General features: G+C 36.6%; 2 long non-coding RNA genes across 2 annotated transcripts in view; one reads left to right on the forward strand and one right to left on the reverse strand.

The window, feature by feature from the left end:
• The first annotated feature begins 822 nt into the window (after positions 1–822).
• Positions 823–27,578, forward strand: part of LINC02506 (long intergenic non-protein coding RNA 2506) — a 158,028-nt gene continuing 131,272 nt past the window's right edge. The window contains exon 1 of the long non-coding RNA NR_125936.1: positions 823–1,266. This is a non-coding gene — a long non-coding RNA (long intergenic non-protein coding RNA 2506). The remainder of the gene's footprint in view (positions 1,267–27,578) is intronic.
• LOC105377651 (uncharacterized) lies at positions 9,297–25,866 on the reverse strand. Its single transcript, NR_134682.1, has 4 exons — positions 25,745–25,866; positions 13,196–13,259; positions 11,111–11,157; positions 9,297–9,466 (listed from the first exon to the last, which is right to left on the reverse strand). It is a non-coding gene; the product is annotated as an uncharacterized LOC105377651 (long non-coding RNA).

Here is a 27,578-nt window from a genome sequence, read left to right on the forward strand (position 1 = left end):
GGGTCCCCCAGCAGTGCCGGCCCACCAGCGCTGCGCTGGATTTCTCACCGGGCCTTAGCTGCCTCCCCGCAGGGCAGGGCTCCGGACCTGCAGCCCGCCATGCCTGAGCCTCACCCCCTCCGTTGGGATCCTGTGCGGCGGGAGCCTCCCAAAGGAGCGCCGCCCCAACGAGCGCCGCCCCAACGAGCGCCGCCCCCTGCTCCACGGCACTCAGTGCCATCGACCACCCAAGGGCTGAGGAGTGCCGGCGCAAGGCGCGAGACTGGCAGGCAGCTCCACCTGCAGTCCGGTGGGGGATCCACTGAGTGAAGCCAGCCGGGCTCCTGAGTCTGGTGGGGACTTGCAGAACCTTTATGTCTAGCTAAGGGATTGTAAATGCACCAGTCAGCACCCTGTGTCTAGCTCAGAGTTTCTTAATGCACCAATTGACACTCTGTATCTAGCTACTCTGGTGGGGAGGTGGAGAACCTTTATGTCTAGCTAAGGGATTGTAAATATAGCAATCGGCACTCTGTATCTAGCTCAAGGTTTGTAAACACACCAGTCAGCACCCTGTGTCTAGCTCAGGGTTTGTGAATGCACCAATTGACACTCTGAATCTAGCTACTCTGGTGGGGACTTGGAGAACCTTTGTGTCCCCACTCTGTATCTAGCTAATCTGGTGGGGACGTGAAGAACCTTTGTGTCTAGCTCAGGGATTGTAAAGGCACCAGTCAGCACCCTGTCAAAACAGACCACTTTGCTCTCTGTAAAATGGACCAATCAGCAGGATGTGGGTGGGGCCAGATAAGAGAATAAAAGCAGGCTGCCCAAGCCAGCAGTGGTAACCCCCTTGGATCCCCTTCCACACTGTGGGAGGTTTGTTCTTTTGCTCTTTGCAATAAAGCTTGCTGCTGCTCACTCTTTGGGTCCAGACTGTCTTTATGAGCTATAACACTCACCGGGAAGGTCTGCAGCTTCACTCCTGAAGCCAAGGAGACCACGAACCCACCGGGAGGAAGGAACAACTACAGACACGCCGGCTTAAGAGCTGTAGCACTCACTGCGAAGGTCCGCAGCTTCACTCTTGAGCCAGAGACCACGAACCCACCAGAAGGAAGAAACTCCAAACACATCCGAACATCAGAAGGAAAAAACTCCAGACACGCCGCCTTTAAGAACTGCAACACTGCGAGGGTCCGCGGCTTCATTCTTGAAGTCAGTGAGACCAAGAACCCACCAATTCCAGACACACTACCAAAGGCAGAGGGGAGCTCCTAGACAAAGGTAAGATACTGTCTTTACTGTTAATCTGTGGAGAGTCTTTCTGGCCCCACTGTTCTTGAATAAATTCCTCTCTGTCCACATGATGTGCCCAGAGACAATCTAACTGCCAAGTGCCACTTCTCAAAATGGCTGCAGTTTCAAAGTCAAGTCTTTGTCCTGTTTGTTCAAGCAAAGTTGGCAAAGTGGGCTCAGAAAGACGTTTTATGTGGTATGTGCTCATTATTCAAGTTCCTATCACACCTGTTTCTATATCGATTTCCTTCATAAATCTGAAAGAAATATTGGAATAGGGGATGTATCTTATTCATTGTTATTTTTTGGTGTTTGGAAAACTGCCTAGGACATAATAGGCATTACTTCATGTTTGCTGAATGGGTGAATATATGTTCTCTCCATCAGAGCAGTGTTTATCACAATTTCAGGGGGCCAAATTAAGCTGAATCCTCATATACTAAATTCCATAATTTTATATATTTTTCGAATACCTATAATATTTCAATATTATCATTTCTTTCTAAAAACTGGACTTAACTTCTGTAGTTTAAGAAAAAAATCCGGACGTTTTGTTTTACCAGTGTGAACATCTTAATGTTCTCTATAAGTAAACTCTAATTATAATGCATTATACTTCGTAAAAAGATTGTGTTTGAACCAGACAGGGCTAAATTTGAATTTAGTGTAAATTTAAATACTATTTTTGGAATATGGCTACAAATTCCATACCCAGATAATTATTAATAGTAACAGAGATTCTAAAAAATTAGACTTTTTGACAAAATAAATGGTTAGTCCCTTATGGAAAAAACAGTATTATTGAGCAAAAAATGATAATTAAGCAAGCTCTTGAATGTGTATAATGCATGTTGAGAGTTTTGGCTCTGATATACTTCTTGGTTACAAAATAGTACATTAACTTTTTTGAGTCCATCTTAAATGAGAAATTTGTTTTTAATCCTTGTAAAAACCCGAAGAGATATGCACTGCAATTATCCCCACAAGGAAGCAGACTCAAAAAACTAATTTTTTTCTTCCTAAGGTGGTATCCTACTCTGGTGTGATGAAGACAACATTCAAACTGCAGACTGCCAAACTCTAACCAAAAGCTAAACCATTATGGCATGCTGCCTGCTCAAAATTTAGTGGGTTCTGATCACTGAGCAATCTTTGTCTTTGTTCCTGTTTCCCTATTTCTGCCTCTGTCTCTCTCTCACACACACACATACACACACACACACACACACACACACACACACCTGCCCCTCCCCCCCAAAGTGCAGAATATGTAATTACGAATATAGATAATGAAACGGAGAATTAACTAGACTAACTAACTGTTAGGCATCATTTTATTATTAAGAGGAAAGGGGATTATAATTCAGGTTTGTCTTATATATTATCCTGTGTGTTTAATCACAATATATGAAAATATAATTAGCTTTCATTTTTAAAATTTTCAAAAAAAAACATGCTTCTGATTGTATTTTGTGGCTCTGGGCATTCTGAGATCATTGTTTAATATTTAATCTTGTTTCAGTTGAAAGTTGAAGTATTTAAGTGTTTAATTTTAAGTTTTTTTAAAAAATCAGATGACAAATTATTATTTGAGTAATGCAATTTCATCATTGTTAATTGTGGGAGGAAAGAATAGATTTATATATATTTAATAGAGAGAGAGACCTTAGTTCTCATGACAATACAGGTTATCACATTACCAATTGAACCATCAGGGTAGATTAAAGGCAATTTATAATATTAGAATGTATGTTATCGTGTTAATAAATTTCAGAATAACAATTAGAATGAATTAGTGAAGATAATTGTAAACTTAAAACATACTTAAAACTTATATACTCAGATTAAAGTTTCAGCTCTGTAATTTACTAAGTTTTTAAATTTCAGGAAGGTGGTTTTCTTTCTCTGAGCATCAGAATTTTGTTTGCTTGTTTTTGTTTATTTATTTATTTTTCATCTGTAAAATGAAAGTCCTGGGCCAGTGACCTCTAAGTTCTTTTCTGCCCACAGTCCCTAACATCACAATGTTGTATTGAAAACATTCTACTAGGTCAATATTAGTAAAGCAGAATGAGTATAAATGTTCTGCTCATTCTCCATGCACACTTTGGAAATCATGAGTAATGAATACTAAACTCACATTTTTTATTTATGTATTTCTTGATCTCATTTTGTGGATATTCCCTTTGCAGTACCCTCTGGGCACATTTACAGGATTTAATAAGAAGAGAGATGATATCTGCAATCTTAATTGTATAGCAGAATGATAAACTCACAGACGGAAAGCTTGTCTTGTAAATTTAATTTCCTCTAAGCTTGTTAGGAAGAATGTACCAGAGAATGTAAGAGCTCTCATCTCAAGTCATTGTATTACATGAACTTTTCAATTTTCATGTCAACTAGTATTAATATATTTAAAAGCACATTGCCTATTTTAGATCATATATGATATATATTTTTCTTTGATTCAAGATAGTTCTGTGTGGTTTATATCCACCATAGACCTATTTGAATTATCTCTATTAAATGTTTTTTAATAAGTTGGGCTTAGAAAATGTCTGACTGCCATTAGTATTTGCATTCCAGAGGCCATATTAGATAATTCAATTTTCCATTACTTAAAGGAATTGCCTTGTTCCATAACTAGGTTTACTGCAGACAAAAATGTGAAGCACCGTAACTGCTTTTTAATCTCAGGATAGAGAATTTTATTTTATTTAAAAATTGTTTGGGCCATGTACTTCATAGGAAATTTTCTTACTTCAATAATCTCTGGACAAAAGTCTGTTTACAATCTAATAGTATGTCATCACAAGAATAAAAACAAAATATTTTTATTAATAACATAAATGTTTTATATAATTGTAGAAATTCAGAAAAGGAAAATAAAATAATCTAGTTAAGATAATGCCTGCATAAGATAGAGTGAAGACAATGGGAAGAAAACTCGAGATGCGCTGAGCATTTTCTCTGGGAAAGGTAGTATGCTGCTGTGATTTAACTCTGAAAAATTCAATTTCATGGGTAAATTATATTCTTTTATGGATTAAGGAAACTATAATCTGGTCACCCAATGTCAAAAGCTAGTTAGCTGCTGAAGATATTACCTAACAGTTCTGACACTGATACTTTAAAGATGCCACAAATTCTTTTCTATGCCTCTTATTGGGAGGCGAAGTCCATTTCCTTTCACCATGAATCTGGTTTCCATGATTTTTTTTTAACCAGTGAAAGTGATGCTTTGCCAGTGTTTAGGCCCTGATTACAAGAGCTACTACTATTCCCTGCTCTTGAAATACTTACTCTTGGAAAGCTGAACATCAACTTAACCAGGTTTCCTGCCAGAGAAAACATTTAGAGAGGCCCTGAGACCTAAAGGAAGATGCACCTATCTGATACCAGCTTTCTTACTCTCTCTTCAAGTTTACAGGCATGTGTGTGGAGCTGTCTCAGAGCCTACAGAGTAGCCTAGTCTTTAGCCACATATCGCGGTGACACAGTCAACACCAAATGCACAGAAGAATCACTCAGCTGAGCTCTGCCTGAATTCCTGGCTCCCCAAATTATGAGCTACAAAACATAGCTGTTTTAAATCGCTACATTTTGAGAAGTTTGTTAAGCAAGAATAGATAAGTAGAGCAGAGACAAACACCAACATCCATATTCATTCCAAGATAAAATTCTGCTACCTGTGGAAGAACAGAAGTATTATCATTTTTTCTGATAATAATAATTCAAAAATTGAAAGAAATTGTTGGCATTTGTAAAATGAGAACAAGGTGGAAATAATGAGTTATAAATTCCACAAAATGCAAAAATATAAAATAAAATTAAAGGGGGCTATTTCAACCTAAGTGTACACTCTTTGGGTGATGGGTGGACTAAAATATCAGAAATCACCACTAAAGAATTTATCCTGGTAACCAAAAACCACCTGTTCCCCAAGAACCCACTGAAATAAAAAATATATAAAATAATAATAAAAAAGAAAATATATTTTTCTTAAAAAGTGCTATTAAACATACATAGAGCCAGAAAATGAAAATGCACATATTCTATGTAGTTTGTGAGTGATATAGCTAGAGTGATAAAGCTATAGACATTCAAGTACGAGTTAAATAATTTTGAAGCAACATAAAGGTAAACAATTGTACTATTCTAAGAGAACACAGATTTTAGATACATATTACTATCTTGATTTCTCTCATGGAATACAGAATATTAGGTCATCTTTAACTGTTTATTGGGAAAGACTAGAAATTAAGATACATAACTAACACTTTGCCTTAAAGATAGCTAGCTCACAGTCTGTCTCCAGGCTCCTCCCACTCATATCTAGTGCACACAGCTCTCCAGGCTCCTCTCACTCATATCTAGTGCACACAGCTTCTAAATAAGTCTCCCCAAAGGTCAGATCTGATCATATCATAGTTCTGCAAAAACCTATGATTCTTCGTCGGCCATAGAAAAAGAAGATGTATTGTTGTCCTATGGTATTTTTGTATCCATAATTTTCCTCCTTTATCTGTTCTAAAACAAATGTATCTATACTCTAAATGAAATTCTTTTCTTTTCCCCCTTGTCCATTGACATATAAACACACATAAACACATGTACAATATGCAATGTTGTTAGAATAGGGACATAATATCCACAGTCATAATTCCCATTCAAAACATTGTTTTTAATTAAAATGGGAAACACCCAGCATTGCCTGGTTTTTAGGAATAATCGAATCCTGCTTAGTCATTGTGGCGACCTCTCACCTTGGCAGCAGAGGGAATGTCTTTACTAAATCCCGGTTCTACCTGACAGAAGGAACTAACTTGTCCATGTATTTCACGGCCCCAGTTTTGGGAGATTCTTCCTTGACTGTGATGTTGCATGGCTAAATCCAAAGCAATATGTGGGAAGTATTGTGCAGCTCCTCTGGGATTTGAAGAACTTTTATAGCCCACTTCTTGATGGTACAAGTTTGGTTGTCTGATAATTTTTCTAGAAGTTAAACTGTCACAATCAAAAACTTTTTAAGCTCAGATTCATGGTTTCCTTGGCAATGCTGTTTCCAATAAATGTCAGAAGTATATTAAACTGTTTTCTTTCTGTCTGTTCCATGTGTCTTGATATTGTTTTTAACTCTGCTTTATTTCTTCACTTTCTTGGCTTCCTGGTTCACTTTCTCAATTTAATACTTTCTGCCTTGAACGTATCTGAAACAATAGGCTCATATAGGAAGACAATATCCTTATTTGAATTACTGAGGCAAAATATAGAAGCTTTAGGAAGAGGGAACAAAATAAGGGAGAAGAGGCACTAAATAAATAATTAAAATACACATTTATTTTGAAATTATAAGGTCAATAAATATTTGTTAAATGACAGGTTGATTGAATGCTCCTGAAAAATGGGAAAGCATTTGAAAAATGGGAAAACATTAGATAAGCACAGTCAGACTTGTTAAATGAGTGAACTTCAACTCAAGAATCCATTATGTAGTCTAGAAATTTATCACCTATCGGAGTGAAAAATATTTAAGGATATGCAAGAAATCCAAAGAGTGTACCTTCAATTCAAACTATCTTAGGAAAACATTTTTAAAATACATTTAACAAATATATAATAAAGCTAAACTCAGAGAAAGATAACTCGGGTTTAAAAAAAAGTAAAAAAAGCAACTGCCAACAATAAATAAATCTTTATTTACTAGTTGCTATGGAGTGAATGTTTATATTTTTCCAAAATTCATATGCTGACAACTAATCCCTAGTGTAATATTATTAAAAGGTAGGATCTCTGGAAGGTGATTAGATCATGAGGAAGGAGCCCTCATGAAAGAAATTAATGTCCTTGCCAAACAGCCCTGAAGGAGTTAGTCTCTTTCACTCTGTGAGAACAAAGCGAGAAGGTGCCATCTGCAGCCCAGGAAACAAGTGCTCATCAGACACTCAATCTGCATGTCCCTTGATCTTGAATTTCCCACCTCTCAGAACTGTAAGACATACATTTCTGTTGTTTATCAGCCACACAGTTTATGATATTTTACTAAAGCTGCCCAAATAGACTAAGACACTGTTGTATTACTTTTATATTGCTGCATTACAATTTACCACAAATTTAACATCTTTAACAACATAAATTTACCATCTTTAACAACATAAATTTACTCTCTCACAGTTTGTGAGAGTCAGGAGTCTGGGCACAGCTTGACTGGGTCCTCGAATCCAGGTATCATGAGGCTGAATCTCATCTACAATTTCATCTGAGACTTGGGTCTGCTTTCAAGCTCACAAAGCTGTTGGCAGAATTTATTTCCTTGCAGCCATGGAATTAACAGCATCTGCTCTTTTTTGATTAATTTAAATTCAACTGGTTAGGGTCTTAATTGCAGATAGAAAGTTTTTTTCACCTTTGCTATATAATAGGACATTATTAAGAGAATAGCATTCTATCATTTACAGAATATTGCATTAGTTACAAACAAGCTACAGATCTCACTCCAACTTGAGAGGAGAGACTCACATAAACATAACACTGGGGATTAGATATCAGGAGGGATATTTTGCTTCATCTCTCTTTTAAAAAATGCAAATGAATAAAGATCTCCTTAATGTCTGGAAGCCACTGATCTGTTCTCTATTTGTACAATTTGGTCATTTCAAGAGTTATATAATTACAATCATTTGGCTTTCTTCATTTAGCATAATTTTTTGGAGATCCCTTCAGTTTCTTGTAGGTATCAGTTGTCTATTTCTTTTTATTACTCTGTACTATTCCATGGTATGGATGTACCACAATTTGCTTAAACACTCACCCTTTGAATGACAACTAAGTTGTTTCCAATTTGAGCCTATCACAAATAAAGCTACTATGAACTTTCATGTACAGAGTTTTACATGAGCATAGGTTTTCACTTATCTGTGTTACAGGGTTAAGAGTGAAATTTCTGGATTGTATTGTAGTTACATGTTTTTGTGTATTGTTGTTATTTAAGCAGCAACAACAACAACAACAAAACTGCTCAGCAATTTTTGAAAATATTTTTACCATTTAACATTCTAGCAGCAAAGTCTGTGTTCCAGTTTCTTCTCACTCTTTCTGGCGTTTAATGTTGTCACTATTTTTCTTTTTATTTTAGTCATTCTGATAAATGTGTAGTGATATCTTATTATGATGTTAATTTGCATTTCTATACTCCCTTCAGTGAATTGCCTCTCTCTGTCTTTTGCTTACTTTCTAATGGATTTTTTTTCCTTTATTTTTGAGCTTTTTGAGTTTGTTATATACTCTAGATACTAACCCTGTGTCAAATAGGTGCTTTGCAAATATTTTCTCTCAGCATGTAGCTTATTTTCTCATCTTTTTGGCAGGGTCTTTCACAGAACAAAAGTTTCCAATTTTAATGAACTTCAATTTACCAAAATTTCTTTTTATGGATAGTGCTTTCAGAATCCGGTCAAAGAACTCTCTAACTGGTGCTAGAACACACAGGTGCCCTGTTTTTTTTTTCTATGGTATTTAAGTCTGTGATTCATTTTGAGTTAAATTTTGTAGGTGCGAAAGTGAGACTTAGGTCAAGGTGCTCCCCTTATTATTATTATTATTATTATTATTATTCTTTCCTCCTCCTCCTCTTCCTTCTTATTTATTTATTTATTTATTTTTTGAGACAGAGTCTTGCTTTGCCACCCAGGTTGGAGTGCAGTGGCATGATCTCGGCTCACTGCAACCTCTGTCTCCAGGACTCAAACGATTATCCTGCTTAGCCTCCCAAGAAGCTGAGATTACAGGTGCACACCACCACACCCAGCTTATTTTTGTAGTTTTAGTAGAGATGGGGTTTCACCATGTTGGCCAGGCTGGTCTCGAACTCCTGACCTCCTGCTATGCCCGCCTTGACCTCCCAAAGCGCTGGGACTACAGGCTGGGTCACTGCACTTGGCTGCTGCTTCTTCTCCTTCTCCTTCTTCTCCTTCTTCCTCTTCTTCCTCTTCTTCTTCCTCTTCTTCCTTCTTCTTTTTCTTCTTCCTCCTCCTCCTCCTTCTTCCTCTTCCTCTTCCTCCTCTTCTCCTTCATCTTCTCTTCTTTTCTTCTATGTTGAATTGCTCTAGTACCATTTCTCAAAACACATATCCTCCCTCTGCTGAAGGTGGGAATGAATGTCCATATGCCCATGTTGTCACCACTTTTCCTAGCAGAGGAAGCAATTTGGGAGAGAAGAGAAGTTATAGTCTGGCAGGAATAAAAGTCTTGGCTCTCTATTTAGCTTTTTCTCACACCACGCCAGTTGAAGGTTGAGAGTGCTTCATTATAGTCTGCTAAGGGTGGAAATCTAGGCTCTCTGCTTCCTCTTTGGTATTGTAGGTATGGGTGGAGCCAGATAGTTTCCTGGGCAGTTTAATTGTACCAGAATTATTTTATAAATATTTTCTGACTTTCTGTCATCCCCTTTCCTATCTTTTGATTAAAGAGTGCAGATTTTTTTTCTCTTAACCCATTGGTACTGATAAATGGAGAAAATATAGAAGTTGCATTGGGCAATATATCAAAACCAAAATCAATAAACATAACATATATCAAAAAAATTGGTCACACAAATTATAGACAAAGGAATACTGTCAGTGTCATATGAGACTACTTACAAATTGTCAGAAAAAAATAAATGGTCAAGTTGAAAAATATGCTCTAAGAACATGAATAAATACATAGAAAATATCAAATTCAAAAGTCAAATAATATATGAAAAAATTCTCAAATTTTGTTATAAAATTAAAAATTAAGTTTAATATATTGTTTGAATAGCAAATCTTAAATTTTTAAAAGCTATATCATTTATTGCTTACAAGAAATATAAAATCTATTAAAGTTATATATATGTATATATGTTCAACGAGCAATCTTCCTAATTAATGTAGCTAGTGACATCCATTTTTATAGAATAAAAAGACAATAAACTCTGTACAGAGTTACACATAAAAGTCTATGCAACAGAAAACGTGTACATATGTAGTTCAAATACACTTAATCTTCATTTTTTGAAGAGTCTGTATCTGCAGATACATGTCCATAAAATTTATTTTTAACCCCAAAATTGATACTCAGGTCACTTTCACAATTCTTCACAGACATGAACAGAGTGGTGGAATTTTTGACTTGTCTGATACACTTGAAGTTGAACTAAACAATAATCTGCTTTCTTGTTTTAGCTCTCATAATGTAAACAAGTATCCTTATCATGGTTTATTTAGTGCCACGTGTGCTTTTTTGGTGATTTCACCGTTTAAAATGGCACCCAAATGTACGGCTAAAGTCCTTCCAAGAGTGCCAAAATGTGAGATGGTTGTGATGTGCCTTATGGAGTGTGTTAGATAAGATTTTCTTGGGCATGAGGTATAGTGCTATTGGCTATGAGTTCAATGTTAATGAAGCAATAATATAGGTTAAATAAGATTTCTTTAAACAAACACATAAAACAAGGTTATGTATTGAGTGGTTGATAAAAATGTTGTTAACAGATGCTTGCAGGAACCTAACCCTGTATTTCAGCTAAAAGCAATGGTTTAGTATTCACGATTTCAGTGTTTGTGGTGTCTTTATAAAAATATGACTATCACATATAACAAGAATCTATTGTATATGTGTCTGGGTGGGTGTGTGTGTACACATATATATATATACACATCTATGTATACATATATACACATGTTTATAGATAAATATATATGTGTATATGCATACCACGCATTCTTATTTGCATAGGGTAATTTGAGCACTGAAAAATGTAGAATACAAAGTTGGTTATTAGGATACATGCTATATTGTTAAAATAGGTTACCTTAGCGGGAGGAGGAGTCTAATTTTGGTATAGTAGAAATTGAATAGCTGAGAAAAGAAAAAAAAGATATTTTTAAAGTCATGCATGACATTCATATGTCAATATGAATACATACAAAAAATTAAACTCAATTTTAAGATTTTTCAAAAGTAAAATAAACAGCTATCTCAATTCCCATATTCTCCTAAATAATAATATTTATATATTTTCTATTTGACCATCTATATTATTGCATTCCATGTCTTACATTTTGTCTAATAAGATGGAAGAATACATTAAGTTGAAAGATAGATAATAAATAGATAGATGCAGACTGATAGACAATAATAACAATAAACTAGGAAATGATAGAAATTGATAAACATAGAAGTTGATATGGTTTGGCTGTATCCCCACCCAAATCTCATCTTGAATTGTAGTTCCCATAATACCACATATTGAGAAAGGGACAAGGTGGGAGGTAATTGAATCATGGGGGCAATTACCCCCATGCTGTTCTCATGATAGTGGGTGAGTTCTCATGAGATCTGATTGTTTTATAAGGGGCTTTTCCCCCCTTTGCTTGACACTTCTCCTTCCTGCTGCCCAGTGAAGTAGGTGCCTTTTGTCCCCTTCACCTTCTGTCATTATTGTAAGTTTATTAAGGCCTTCTCAGCCATGTGTAACTGTGAGTCAAGTAAACCTCTTTCCTTTATAAATTACCCAGTCTTGGGCAGTTCTTTACAGCAGCATGAGAATGAACTCATACAGAAGTACATGTCAAATTGAACATTCTAGACAAAATATTATCCTGTGTAGATGCTTATATGTATAAATGCTGAAATAAAACCACTAAAGATACGTGTGCATATGCACATACATTACATATTTCAAGGCAAACTGATACATCTCATGTTAATGTCTCTTTTATTAAGTAGCTGGATGACCATAGTCATATCATTTAATTCCATTATGTTCAGCTTATTTAACTATATAGTTAGGGAATTTACCTAGTAAACTTTTTCATGAGCTTGAAATCATAACTTTTGTATAGGATACCATTTAAAAGATAATTAGCTAAACCTAAAGAGATTTTAATCATCGTTGTAATCAAATATCCTCACTAATAAATTTTAGTTCTTGTTTGCATTTAACAAAGCATCTTAGCTAAGCTGTCTGTGAACACTCTTCACTTTCATTTTCCTTTTCTTCAAAAGAGAAATTATTTGTTCGTATATCCATGTCGGAAAAGGTAAACTCTGGATTGTTTTCATTGTCTATATGCCAAAACATTTAATAGACACAACAAACAAAAACACAAACAAAACTTTGATACACATAGTGGAACAAAATTCCAGTGGCTGTTTTACTAAATAACCATACCCATTGCTGCAGCTTTTTTTATTATTATTATTCAGGATTTTTTTACTTAACGAGACTTGAAATTCTTGAAAGAGCTAAAGTTGAGGCATAGCAACAGTAACCTGGTGCTATAACTTCTTTTGTGGACTTTCCAGTCCAAACATTTTTTTCCAAGGTTCCTGAAGCTGTTCTGATGCTTTCATTAGACTTAAATCCCTTTTTATTTTCATGAAAGCTCATTTGTACTCAAGATGGTTTTAGTGGATTTTGGTGACTTGCACTAAAGTATTACAACTAACACAAAGATTAACAAACATCCTGTACTTTTCTTTTACAAATTCTATCTTTCTAGAGTCTGTAGCTCTTCTATTGTAAGTTGTTTACATAATATAAACTCTTTGGGTTAAAATCTTTAATTTCTAAAAAAAAATTAATGTCTTTTTCCTTGAAATCTTGTTGTAGATATATTATATGGATTTATGTAGAACAGAAGTTATATTCTTCTGTGATCAGTATTCAGTACCAGCAAACAGAAATACTTGTGTAATTCAAATTGCTATAAAATTATGTATAATTTATAATACAGTGTAAAATCTAATGTAACATTTATTATATAACATATATTTTTCCATAATTTATTGTATAGCATATAATTCATACAAACAATGGTTACATATTTGTCATTTTGTGTAAACTGCGATAAAATCATAATGCTACTACACTTATATTTTAAAAAGACATTACTCAGAATTTTCTGGGGGTGTGGCAAAGATGGCAGACTAGAAGCAGCAGGAATCGGAGGCTCCCACTGTAAAAAAAAAAAAAAAAAAAAACATAATAAGCGTGTGAATCCTTCACCAGCAACCAAAGTATCCAGGTTCTCTCATCAAAATTGACTAGAAGGCGCAGAAAGAAGGCAGAGCAGTGTGGTGCAGCAGCCCACCTGAGAGCCACATGGGGAAGGGGAACCCTCTTAACCCTCCCCAGGGAGGCAGTGAGGCAGTGCGCTACCCAGCTGGGGAAACTGCTCTTTTTCCACGGAACTATGCAACCCAAAGATCGGAAGATCCCACTTGCGAACCCATGCCACCGGAGCCTAGCGTCCCAAACCTGGAAGGTGTAGATTCTTAGAGCATCTCAGTTAGATTCTGCTGAAGAATACCAAACTCCCGGGCGGCAGGGCGACCAGCACTGGCTGCGGCTGCCCCCTGTCTAAGCCTTTCAAGCTCCTTGTGGGAGGGGCAGTAACCAGCAATGGGACCTGTAACTGCCTAACACGCTAAGCTCCTTCTGTGAAAGGAGAAGCACCCATCTCTATAGCTCCAGGCTGCTCTTTTCCCCTGCTGGAGCCAGGGAGGCTGGATAGCTTGGTCCCGTGACTTGTCCCCACAGCCCAACACACCAGCTATGGCAGTCTGTGGACAGAGGGCCTCTTCAGGCCTAACCCTGACTCATCCTTCCTCAGTGGGCGGGGCTTCCCTGCAGGATCTCCAGTAACTCCAGCCAGAGGCTCAGGGATAGAATTCAGATCTCCCTGGGCCTGAGCCCCTAGTGGGAGGGGTGGCCACAGTCTGTGGACCAGCAGACTTAGACTCTCCTCCTTGAATCCAGGCAGCCCAGACAAGTGGATTTTCCCCTAGTAAAACACACCCTCTCCACCAAGGGACAAAGTGCTTCTTTAAACAAGTCCTGATCCCCATGCCACCCAACTGCGTGAGACCCTCCAACAGGGATTGTTAGACACCCTATACAAGAGCGATCCTATTGGCATCAGGTTGGTGCCCTCTCGAGGTCAGAGGTCCCAGAAGAAGGAGCAGGCACTCGTCTTTGCTGCTCTCCAGCCTCCTTGAATGGTATCTACAGGCACAGGAGTGAATTGGATGAATAAGGCCTGAAGTGAACCTATTCGTGTGCTGTATTCAGGAGACCCCTCCTACATGTAAAAACACACACAGGCTCAAAATACAGGGATGGAGGACAATTTAACAAGGAAATGGAAAGCTAACAAAAAAATAAAAAACAAAAAAACAAAACAAAAACGTAGGGATTGCAATCATAGTCTCTGAGAAAACAGACTTTTAACCAACAAAAATCAAAAAAAAAAAAAACAAAGAAGGGCGTTACATAATGGTAAAGGGAACAATTCAACAAGAAGAGCTAACTATTCTAAATATATATGCACTCAATATGGGAGCACCCAGATTCATAAAACTAGTTCTTAGAGACCTACAAAGAGACTTAGACTCCCACACAATAATAGTGGGAGAATTTAACACCCCACTGTCAATATTAGACAGATCAATGAGACAGAAAATTAACAAGGATATTCAGGACTTGAACTCAGCTCTGGATCAAGTGGACCTAGTAGATGTCTACAGAACTCTCTACCCCAAATCAACAGAATATACATTCTTCCCAGTTCCACATGGCACTGATTCTAAAATCGACCACATAATTGGAAGTAAAACATTCCTCAGTAAATGCAAAATAATGGAAATTATAACAGTCTCTCAACCACAGTGCAATCAAATTAGAGCTCAAGATTAATAAACTCACTCAAAACCACCCAATTACATGGAAATTGAAAAATCTGCTCCTGAGTGACTCCTTAGGAGGGGAAATAATAAAATTAAGGCAGAAATCAAGAAGTTCTTTGAAACCAATAATAACAAAGAGACAATGTACCAGAATCTCTGGGACACAGCTAAAGCAGCATTAAGAGAGAAATTTATAGCACTAAATGCTCACATCAGAAAGCTAGAAAGAACTCAAATTGGCACCCTAACATCACAATTAAAAGATCTAGGGAGGCAACAGTAAACTAATCCAAGAGCCAGCAGGAGACAAGAAATAACTAAGATCAGAGCAGAATTGAAGGAGATAGAGACACGAAAAGCCCTCCAAAAAATCAAGGAAACCAGGAGCTGTTTAAAAAAATAATAATAATAGTTAACAAAGTAGATACACTTCTAGCTAGACTAATAAAGAAGAGGGAGAAGAATCAAATAGACACAATAAATAATGATAAAGGGGATTTCTGACCCTACAGAAATACAAACTACCAACAGAGAATACTATAAACACTTCTATGCAAATAAACTAGAAAATCTAGAAGAAATGGATAAATTTCTGGACACATAAACCCTACCAAGACTAAACAAGGAATAATTTGGGTCCCTGAATAGACCAATAACAAGCTCTGAAATTGAGGCAGTAATTAATAGCCTACCAAACAAAAAAAGCCCAGGAGCAGACAGCTTTACAGCTGAATTCTACCAGAAATACAAAGAGGAGCTGGTACCATTCCTTCCGAAATTATTCCAAACAATTGAAAATGAGGGAATCCTCCCTATCTCATTTTATGAAGCCAGCATCATGTTGATACCAAAACATGGAAGAGACACAACAAAAAAAGAAAAATTCAGGCCAATATCCCTGATGAACATCAATGCAAAAATCCTCAATAAAATACTGGCAAACCAAATCTAGCAGCACGTAAACAAACTTAGCCACCATGGTCAAGCTGGCTTCGTCAAGTTGGCTTCATCCCTAGGATGCAAGGCTCATTCAACATACACAAATCAATCAAGTTAGTCCATCACATAAACAGAACCAAAGACGAAAACCACGTGATTATCTCAATAGATGCAAAAAAGGCCTTAGATAAAAGTTAACATCCTTTCATGTTAAAAACTCTCAATAAACTAGGTATTGATGGGACACATATTAAAATAATAAGAGCTATTTATGACAAGCCCACAGACAATATCGTATTGAATGGTCAAAAGCTGGAAGCATTGCCTTTGAAAACCGGAACAAGACAAGTGTGCCCTCTCTCACCACTCCTATTCAACATAGTATTGGAAGTTCTGTCCAGGGCAATCAGGCAAAATAAAACAATAAATAAATGCAGTTATTCAAATAGGAAGAGAGGAAGTCAAGTTGTCTTTGTTTGCAGACAACATGATTTGATATTTAGAAAACCCCAATATCTCAGCCCCAAAATTTCTTGAACTGATAAGCAATTTCATCAGTCTCAGGATACAAAATCAATGTGCAAAAATAACAAACATTCCTTTACACCAACAATAGGAAAGCAGAGAGCCAAATCATGAATGAACTCCCACTCACACTTACTACAAACAGAATAAAATGCCTAGGAATACAGCTAACATGAGATGTGAAGGACCTCTTCAAGGAAAACTACAAACCACTCACTGCTCAAGGAAAGAAGAGAGGACACAGACAAATGGAAGAACATTCCATCTTCATGAATTGGAAGAATCAATATCATGAAAATGGCCATACAGCCCAAAGTAATTTAAAAATTCAATGCTATTCCCATCAAACTACCATTAACATTCTTCACAGAATTAGAAAAAAAACACATTTTAAATTTCATATGGAATCAAAGAAGACCCCAAGAGGCCAAGACAATCCTAAGCCAAAACAACAAAGCTGGATGTATCATGCTACTTGACTTCAAACTGTACTACAAGTCCACAGTAACCAAAACAGCATGGTACTGGTACCAAAACAGACATATATAAACCAATGGAGCAGAACAGAGACTACAGAAATAACACCACACATCTACAACCATCTGATCTTCGATAAACCTGACAAAAACAAGCAATGGGGAAAGGATTCAGTAAATGGTGCTGGGAAAACTGGCTAGCCATAAGCAGCAACTGAAACTGGACCCCTTTCTTACACCTTATACAAAAATTAACTCAAGATGGATTAAAGACTTAAATGTAAAACTGAAAACCATAAAAACACTAGAAGAAAACCTAGGCAGTGCCATTCAGGACACTGGCAAGGGAAAGACTGCATGACGAAAGCTCCAAAAGCAATTGAAACAAACGCCAAAATTGACAAATGGAATATAATTAAACTAAAGAGCTTCTGCACAGCAAAAGAAACTATCATCAGAGTGAACAGGAAGCCTACAGAATGGGAGAAAATTTTTGCAATTTATCCATCTGACAAAGGTCTAATATCCAGAATTTACAAGGAACTTAAACAAATTTACAAGAAAAAAAAAACTCTATCAAAAAGTAAGCAAAGGATATGAACAGACATTTGTCAAAAGAAGACATCTATGTGGCCAATAAACATGAAAAAAAGCTCAACATCACTGATTATCAGAGAAATGCAAATTAAAACCACAATGAGATACCATCTTACACCAGTCAGTATGGCGACTATTAAAAAGTCAGGAAACAATAGATGTTGGCAAGGCTATGGAGAAATAGGAATGCTTTTACACTGTTGGTGGGAATGTAAATTAGTTCTGCCATTGTGGAAGACAGTACGGTGATTCCTCAAGGATCTAGAACCAGAAATACCACTTGACCCAGCAATCCCATTACTGAGTATATACCCAAAGGATTATAAATCATTCTACTATAAAGACACATGCACAGGTATGTTTATTGCAGCACTATTTATAATAGCAAAGACATGGAACCAACCCAAATGCCCATTAATGATAGACTGGATAAAGAAAATGTAATGCAGCCATAAAAACAAATGAGATCATGTCCTTTGCAGGGACATACATGAAGTTGGAAGCCATCATTCTCAGCAGACTAACACAGGAACAGAAAACCAAACACCACATGTTCTCATTCATAAGTGGGAGTTGAACATTAAGAACACATGAACACAGAGAGGGGAACAATACATACCAGGGTCTGTTGGGGTGTGGGGGCTACGAAGAGGGAACTTAGAGGACTGGTCAGTAGGTGTAGCAAACCACCATGGCACACGTATACCTATGTAACAAACCTGCACGTTCTGCACATGTATCCTGTTGTTTTCTTTTTAGAAGAAACAAATTTTTAAAAAGATTTTTTCAATTAAAATAAATATTTTGTTGTTTTGTAGCATGACCATAGCGAATAATCTAGATTTTGTATCCCTGTGAGTGAACACAGCACAGTGGAATTTCTTTGCAGACAAACACTGCTCTTGACTAAGTAGTTAAGAGCAGTTCTGTTTTGGTTGCAAATAGAAGCCATGTAAAATATTAAAGTTTTGATCATGTTCTGAAAATTGTATTTCAGAACATGAATATATAATTGGCAAAATTTAAAAATTAATTCAATAAAATCACTGACAGGTGATTTGATTTCTCAAATACATTTTTATGTTCTGTCACATACTTTAGTACTGATACCAATCAGATTGCAGTATTAACTTAGTTTACTTTCTGCAACATTAGAATATACTTGTTTTGTATGAATTAAAACAATATTACATCATATAACAAGATATCAGGTATTTGATTTGTACTTGTTCTCTGAGAAATTATTCTTTTATTTTTTAGACAGAGTCTCTCACTGTCGCCTGGGCTGAAGTGCAATGGCATGATCTCGGCTCACTGCAACCTCCACCTCCCGGGTTCAAGCGATTCTCCTGCCTCAGCCTCCTGAGTAGCTGGGATTACAGGGGCCCATCACCACACCCAGCTAATTTTTTGTATTTTTAGTCGAGATGGGGTTTCACTATGTTGGCCAGGCTGGTCTTGAACTCCTGACCTCATGATCCACCTGTCTCAGCCTCCCAAAGTGCTGGGATTACAGGCGTGAGCCACCGGGCCCAGCCATATTAGTTATTCTTAAGAAAATATGATAGCTAAAACATTCAATGTGTTAAATATTTATAATCAAGATTTACGAAAACAAAAGAAAACCTGTAGAAGTCAATGTATGTAAAAGACAACAACTAGGCTTGTCTCTGATTTAACCTATGGCCACAATACCATACTTCTGTTGGAAGTTGGCTATAAAGTCTTCATCTACCTATTTATTTAAAATTTAAAAAAACCCGACAGATTGCTCATTACGTTACATGCATGTTACCATGCAGTGTGCTGTGTCAGGTGCAGCACATACAAACATGAATAATACACACATTATACTAAAGAATTCCAAAGAATTTCTGATTTATCTGATTAGAGACAGGCACATAAATTTTAATGTGCATTAAAATTTTAGTTCAAATGTAGCTGGGATCCCAATGGTGTTTTTTTTTTTTTTTTTTTTTTCCACTCTGCACTGACCTGGAGAATGTAACACCTTAACAAGTAGTCTATTCCCTAAAAATATCACTCCCAGAGTCATAGATTTTATTGAAATGTCAAGGAATACACGGAAAATTTATTTCCCTTGTACACTATATGACAACACATTATAGACGATAGTTGTTTAGATAGATATATGGACAGATGGATAAATAATCTGTTTTCTCTTCTCAAGAGATATTCTCTGGTCACCAGCTCTATCACTACATCACCTTTTACATTTTCCTTTCCCTGTCCACAAATAGCATCTAGAGTTGTTCTTCATAACTAAATAATTCAATGCTATCTTTCAGCTTGCATATGCCACAGAGCAAAACAAAAGCTGCATAGGTACTGGCATAACCTAGGATTCTCGGAAAGCTCACACCAATCAATTGATTATCCCTTGTATTCCAAGTGTTTCAAGGATAGGATCATCTCCAACACATCTTTTTACTGAGCTAATAGAGTGGAAGAGTAATTGGAAATTTTGATGCTAAGAAAAACAAGATTTTTTTCCTTATGTGAACTCAATACAGTACATTTTCTGTAAAAAAAAAAAAAGTATGAACTGGAAACATTAGACAATTGTGTACAGATGGGCACATTTAGCTACATATGAGGCTAAGATTGTGTCTGAGCAAAGGATGTAACAATTGAGTAGCACAGTATTTCATATCTGTTACTAGATGGAAAATTCTTTAATACATTATCCATGTCTCACTTATTTTTCTGTTACATACTATGATAACACCTTACAAATGAGAAGTGTTACAACATTTGTGTGGAAAAAGGAAAAATACAGCTAATTATACTCTGTGAGCCCTCTTTTCAGTTGTCTTATTGAATTTGACAGCTTGTTATTTAACTGGGAAAGTTACTAACTTTTATAATATGTGTAGTTGAGAGCTCCTCAGTGCAATGTTGGGAGAAGATTCTCTATGGGCCTCTGTGGGTTTTGCATCTTTTCTGAGCATAGAGATTATGTTAGTTATCTCTTGCTATGCTGTCTTCTGCTGAGGGTTCCTCAAGGCTCCAAGTAAGGTGTTGGCCTCTCTGCTGGAGTTTCATGTAGGGAGGATCTGCTTTGGTTTCGTGTAGCTGTATAAATGAAAGCTCCAGCTTCTTACTGGCTGTAGGTTGGAAATTTGTCTTATAACATAGAGGACATCAGTAGTTACTTGCCACATGGCCTTCTCCATAGACAGTCATAGCAATTTGCTTCAGGACCAGTAAGAAAGACTGGTGCCTGCTGTAAATATGGAGTAATATACATAATACATTATGTATCATATAGCATATAACATATAATGGATAACATGGAATACAGCATATGCCTATTGTGTATACTGCAACCAAATCAAAGAGAGTTGTCTTTTCTACCTAAGTAGTTTTACTTCATAGACTAAACTAGTATTCCAAAATTTAAGTAAATTAAAAAAAAATTGTTCAAAGAAGGAATTTAATTTAAATATATCTATAAAAATAGCATGATATTTTGCCTTTATTATTCTAGTAAGGGTACATTCTTGTATTTAAATATTTTTATTTTCAGGTATATAGTAATTACATGTTAGATTCTGTTATATAGTGTTTATTACATCCAGCTATTTGTAGAGTTCTATTTAGCTTATCCTCTCATTGAACTGTAAAGCAACAAATATAATTATTCTATTACAAAATTTGGTATTTGTACATTAACTCAAGGATACGAGTTAGGGGAAAAAATATCTTCAGACATTTTGTAAATTGGCATTAGTTTCCATTTTTCTGAGTAGCTGGGACTACAGGTGTCCACCACCACACCTGGCTAATTTTTGTACTTTTAATAGAGACAGGGTTTCACCATATTGGCCAGGCTGGTCTGGAACTCCTGACCTTGTGATCTGCCCACCTCGGCCTCCCAAAGTGCTGGGATTACAGGCATGAGCCACCGCGCCCAGCTCCATTTTTCTGAAGAGATATTTTTGTTCTGTTCTTAAGCAATTAAAAATATGTTCATGAACATTAAGAAATATGTAATTAATTTTATTGGTCTTCTGGTATTTAGGAGTTTCTTCTCTACATTTATTCTCTCTTTCTCACATTACCTTTAAGAAGCTTAGTTCAGAGAAGATGGTCTCTTATATTAAGCTACATTTATCCACATATCTGCAAGTCTTGGGAGTATGGTTCTAAGTACCCTTTGTGTTGGATTATCTTTTCACAGATGTTTATGTTGCAAATCACCTTGAAAGATATAGTGACTCCATCCAGAGCAAAGCACAGGCATGCTTCCTGACTATTATGAGAGAGTCCAGTTTCCAAAGCTCAGAGTTTCTTACCTATAACAAACCCACCTCCTGCCTAAGTATCCCCTGTCCCTCTTTGTGTCACTCCATGGAAATTGGTACTTCAGAATTCAGTGTAAAAAAGTGCTGGTACTCTGGCTGCTGCTTTTGTTGTCAGAAATAGACTGTCAAAAGTCTCTAACCCAGTGGTTTCGTTTATTCTGCAGCATCCTTAAAACTGTGCCAGGCTGACTTGTTAGATTGCGAGTGGGTGAAGTCTTACCCACTTCACAGTGTATAAGTGATCTTCTCACTTAGAGAGGCTTATGACAGTTACCCTAAGTCAACACAGAATGAGTCTCAGTAGCAATAATGGAACTCAAATTTAACAAAGCAGAATGACTTCTCACCCTAGTAATATTTTACTTCAACCTAATTAAATACATTTATATATTTAAAGAGAGAAAACATGGATCTGAAGAGATGCAAGAAAGAGCTTATCAAAAAAATCGAAGAAAGCTACTTTTTAGATGTAAAGCAAACTGCAACCACAGAGATAATTTCAATAAGAGTTTAAGCATAGAACTCAACTGGTCCCATTAGCAAAAATGTCTCCCTGGGAAGATTAAATGTGTTGGATAGAGTTTTACAGGCTATTTCCTTCCATGGGTTGGCTGACACAGTCTGTCCATTGGCTATTTTAAGTCCTCAACAACCATTTTTCTCTTATCTTCTTTTACTGAGGCTGAAAATCTTTCAAACGAGGGTCACCATGTGACACAATTAAGAACAATGGGATATATGTGGAATTGCTTAGTAAGAGAGTGCCTTATAAGATATGTTATTAAAAAGCCTTTTATTGTTAGTCTTTCCCTGATTTTTGTGCCTAGAAAAAGAAAATGAATCATATTAGAATCATTTGAAGGCAAACTTATCAGTTTAGGATAAAAAAGCATCCTAAGTTTAGGATGTGCATCTGTTACATGAGAAAACTAAACTACTATAAGTTTAATTACTGTTAATTGGAAATTTTTTGCTTGGATCCAAAGGAACTCTTGATACACAAGAACAAATAAACTAGACAAGGGAGAGGCCAGCAGAGGATTCTTCTATTTTCCCTGTTAAAAAAGTATTTGGAAATTTACTACAGCCCATTCTCACCCACATCCAAACTCATGCCCACAAAATCATATACACTAAGTGAAAGACAGATGATAACATTGAGATGATAGTACAGTTCCTTGAGGACATTTAGCAAGACAATGTGTTTTTAGATTTTTAATGTTGTCTTTTCTCCAAAGATCATCACTGACTTGCATCTGCTATTGGACTTCAATTTGTGAGCCTCAAACTGGGCTCTCCTGGTTCAAATAATTAAAAATTTAAAAAACCTTAATTATTTATGTAACTAAGAATCTATTGTCTGATTACTTCCTTGGTGCCTGTGTAAATTTCTTTTACAGAAAAATGTGCTGGTCAGAAGATATATGATCTGTTCCATTTTATATTTATAATCTCATTTTATAACAATTAATGCACGTATTAGTTTTCTAGGGCTGCCATAATAAAATGCCACAGGCTGGGTGGCTTAAAAAACAGAAACGTGCACTTTAGGAAGCCGAGGTGGGCGGATTGCCTGAGCTCAGGAGTTCGAACCTGGGCAACATGGTGAAACCCCATCTCTACTAAAATACAAAAGAAATTAGCCAGGCGTGGTGGCACATGCCTGTAACCTCAGCTACTCTAGAGGCTGAGGCTAGATAATTGCTTAAACCCGGGAGGCGGAGGTTGTAGTGAGCCGAGATCATGCCATTGCACTCCAGCCCGGGCGACAAAGCAAGACTCCATGTCTACAAAAAAAAAAAAAAAAAATTCAGAGGCATATTTGTTCACAGTTTCAGAGATGACAAGCCCAAGATCAAGGTGTCAACAGTGTTGATTTCTTATTGGGCCCCTCTCTTTGGCTTGCAGATGTCCACCACCTCATTTTGTATCCTTACAAGTTCTCTGTGCTCCAGTGCCACTAGTGTCTTATCTTTTTATGAGGGCATCAAATATATTGGATCAGGGCTTCACCCAAAGGGCCTAATTCTAAATTAATCACCTCTTTAAAGACCTGTGTCCAAATACTGTCACATTTTGAGGTATTGGTGATCGGAGTTTTAACATATGAATTTTCGGAGAACACAAGTCAGCCCATAGAAATAGGTAATCTTTTCTTTTAACTTCAACTCTTCTAGAGATAATTATTTGTTCAATTTCTTAAGTCTTATTAACGCTGAATAAATGTAAAGGTGCAACCTGATACCTAAAAGGTTGAAGTCCAAACCATGGACTGTGGTGATACCCACATTGTGAGCTTTGGGAGTTTAGTCATCAAAATAGAATGCCCATACTAGCACCCAAATTACTTCTTCCGCCAAAACTCTAGAGTATAGATTTTTAAAAAACACATAAAAGTTCTAGGCTATAGTATGTCTTTGAGTAAGAAGTCCTAAACCAACCATGCTACATTAAAAAAAGCAATTAACTCTCTCTAATTTGTTTATCCTACTTCCAAATTAGGTTGATTTGCATTTTGTATTCCACAAATGTGCATTCATTTCAGTACTTTCCATAGTTCAGAAACAATGAATAGAAGCAATACAGTAATATATCAACTAACTTATACAATCATTTTCATTTTTGTAGACCGTAGAGTTACCACTAAATGAGAATTAGTTCAGTAGATAGAATTCATCAGGCATTATTTATTTCTGTTGTCTGCTTGAATAGTCCTTTTTATCTGAGATAAACACTTTGTACATAAAATGCCTTCTTCTGACAATTCAATTGGTCACCAGGAGACTGAATAGAAAGAGAAATAAACATTCAATTAAAATAAGCTGTATAGGTAGCTCAGTTCCTAGTTTTTAAATTAAAAAAAAAAAATTTGCATCTTTAATCACAGTAACCCTGTTTAAAGTAGATGTTTTTTGTGGGGTTGTTTTTTGTAGGAAGTATTGTAGAAGTTGTTGTTTTTCTTAACTCCTTAGTACTAGACAAAGGAATTTCAGACAAAAACATGGAGACATAGGGATTTAATTTTGGCAGTAGTCTCTTATGTACATAATTATGGTGTCAGAAGTGATTTATGAACTTAAGACTTTATAGGTGCTTTTAATTATTTTAATCTCTGTGATTGAGGTATGAATGTAATAACTATGAAAATAGAGGTTGACCCATTTGAGCACAATTGAAAACAAAACACACAGAGGCACTGTAGAAATATTGAAAAGAATTCTACTATTCAAAAAGGGCCCGAAATAAACTGAATTAATCTGAGCTCCTCTTTATTTCCTGTTGGTTGTTTGTCATGAATATTGGACTACTCTACCATTATGACAGAGACAATGTGTCTCTGTCCTTTGATAAGGAAGCAGGGTATCATTCAACACACACACACACACACACACACACACACACACTTTGAACTTAAAATAAGAAGTCATTAGTTCTAGTTCTATTTTCTGTCATTTAACTAGTCTGGGATATTTGTCAAATAAAAAATTAACAACAATGACAAAAACAAAAAACAATCTGGGCTTTTGTTATCTCGTGTAAATTATTAGAGTAGTAATATGTTATCTCAAAATTAACTGAGACAAAGAAACAGTTAAGGAAGGCCTTAGGTCCAGACTCTGTCCTCTCTAGAAGAGACATCTCCTTCTCTTTCCTCTGTTCTTCCTCTCTATCCTTCTTTGGTCTGCTAAAACCTGTTATTTTAAAGTTAAACTCACTGATAATTCTTCTAAACCTCAAATTCCCATTTTTCTTTTATGCAAGCTTAACTTCAAGCCATTGCCAGGGAATTTCCAAGGATCACTGAGGGCCCTCCCCAATTTGCTGAGTAACTCAAGATAGTAAGTCAGGCCTATCATCCCCCGGTTTTCTGATCTATACCAGTTGACTCACATATTTGCTGAAGGTCAGGCACCATGCTGAATGACCAAGGCTTTTTGGTGTGATCCTGAGGGAGAGTTAGACAAAAACACCTCTAAAGACTGTGACAGAACTGAAGGCATAGCAAAAACTTCCATGAGGCCATGAGGCCATTCTTGAGGCTTTTCTTAAAACTTCATGAGATCGTGCCACTGCACTTCAGCCTGGGTGGCAGAGCGAGATTCTGTCTCAAAAAAAAAAAAAAAAAAAAAAAAAAAACTTTATGAGAGGAGGTGCCAGCTGGGCTTACTGAGTCGAGTTCTGGATCAGAAAGCTGTGAAAGTCACTCATTTCCTGCATCAGGACTTACTTCAGTCTTGGATGAATAATAGTGAAGATATATGCTTAAAATATTCCTAATACCAGGATTTGTGCATGTGTTTTCTTCCCCAAGAAAGCTGTGAACAGCGAAAATTTTGCTGTAAGTTTCCCTGTGTCCTCTCTCCCTCTCTCCCTTCCCCCTCCCCCGAAACTAAAAGAAATGTTAACTGCCCGTTTTTCTGTGACCAGCGGACCTTATCTATACTCCAATTCCAATTCCTTGTAAACATACTTTGTAAAGTCCTGTAAGATCCTGTCTCCTTTGCTGTGCCTCTGCAAGGTCATAAAGTAGATGAAACCTAAGTTGCAATTCCATTTTTCGTCCAAATCTAAGACATGTCACAAAATAATTTACTGTCTTTGTTTCTTGCTCTAGTAACATCTTCCCGCCTCAGGTATTTCCCACCTTAAGGAGTTTAAAAAGCAATCATATAATCTAACTCTGGCTACCCATTCGGGACCCCTTCCACACTGTGGAAGCTTTGTACTTTCACTCTGCTCGATAAAGCCTACAGCTTTTTCTCTCTCTTGGTCCGTGTCTCTATCACTCGCCGGGGTCAACCGCCACACCAATTCTTTGGCGTGGCTAGGCAAGAACCTTAGGCGTTACATTTAGACTGCAATAAAATCCATTCCCATATTTAAGAACCTAATGAGCCACTTTCCAGCCATTACAGTTGTACTCCAGGCCATGTTTAAAAAAAATTATATCAAATCCAGGTTGTACTTAGAGAAAATTATGAATTACCTATAGATGTTGAATCTATTCAAGTAGCCTTTTATTCTGTTTGTGAGCAGAATTACAGTTCTCCTTTCTGGAGTACTCTCTCAGCTTGTCCAAAGAGCCTGGATAGAATGGAAAACCATACCTACTTCTGATCTAGATAATTTGGCAAATCAGCTTGCTGGCACCTGTGAGGACACTAATACAGAGAAAACCACTCAAGTTTTAAATCTCCTATTACAGCAGATGGAGCTTCCCAGACATAACACTAGGAAAAAGCATCCTCGGCCAGGCTACTACCATAAGAAACCAGGCCACTGGAAAAGAGAGTGCCAAAAAAGCCAGAAAATCTCTTTCTCATCAACTTTAATAAATCTCCAGAAAATTATGCTAAGTGTAAAAAAATCCAGTCTCAAAAGATTACATACTATATGATTCTGTTGGGTTTCACAAAGTGATAACCCTAAAGACTGGTGCTTTAAGATGCTAAAAGGCCTTAGCAGCAGCCTTAGAACCAAGGTCCTTCTAATCTCACCTGGATCACACCAAACTCAGAAAGAGTTTCCCTTTGAAATTTTTTTCTCTGTTCAAGAAACTCTTTCCAAAAGAAATGCAATTGCCTTAAGTCCTCTTCCTAGAGATCTCATCAAATAACAAGGAAAGATCAACCACTGTAGAAGAGAAAAGACTGGAATTTATTACCACACCCAAACACACTTTTTAATCTATTTTTCTAAGGGCAGCTCCAAGAGATTACCTGGG

This window comes from Homo sapiens, chromosome 4 (assembly GCF_000001405.40).
Source record: "Homo sapiens chromosome 4, GRCh38.p14 Primary Assembly".
Taxonomy (NCBI): Eukaryota; Metazoa; Chordata; class Mammalia; order Primates; family Hominidae; genus Homo; species Homo sapiens.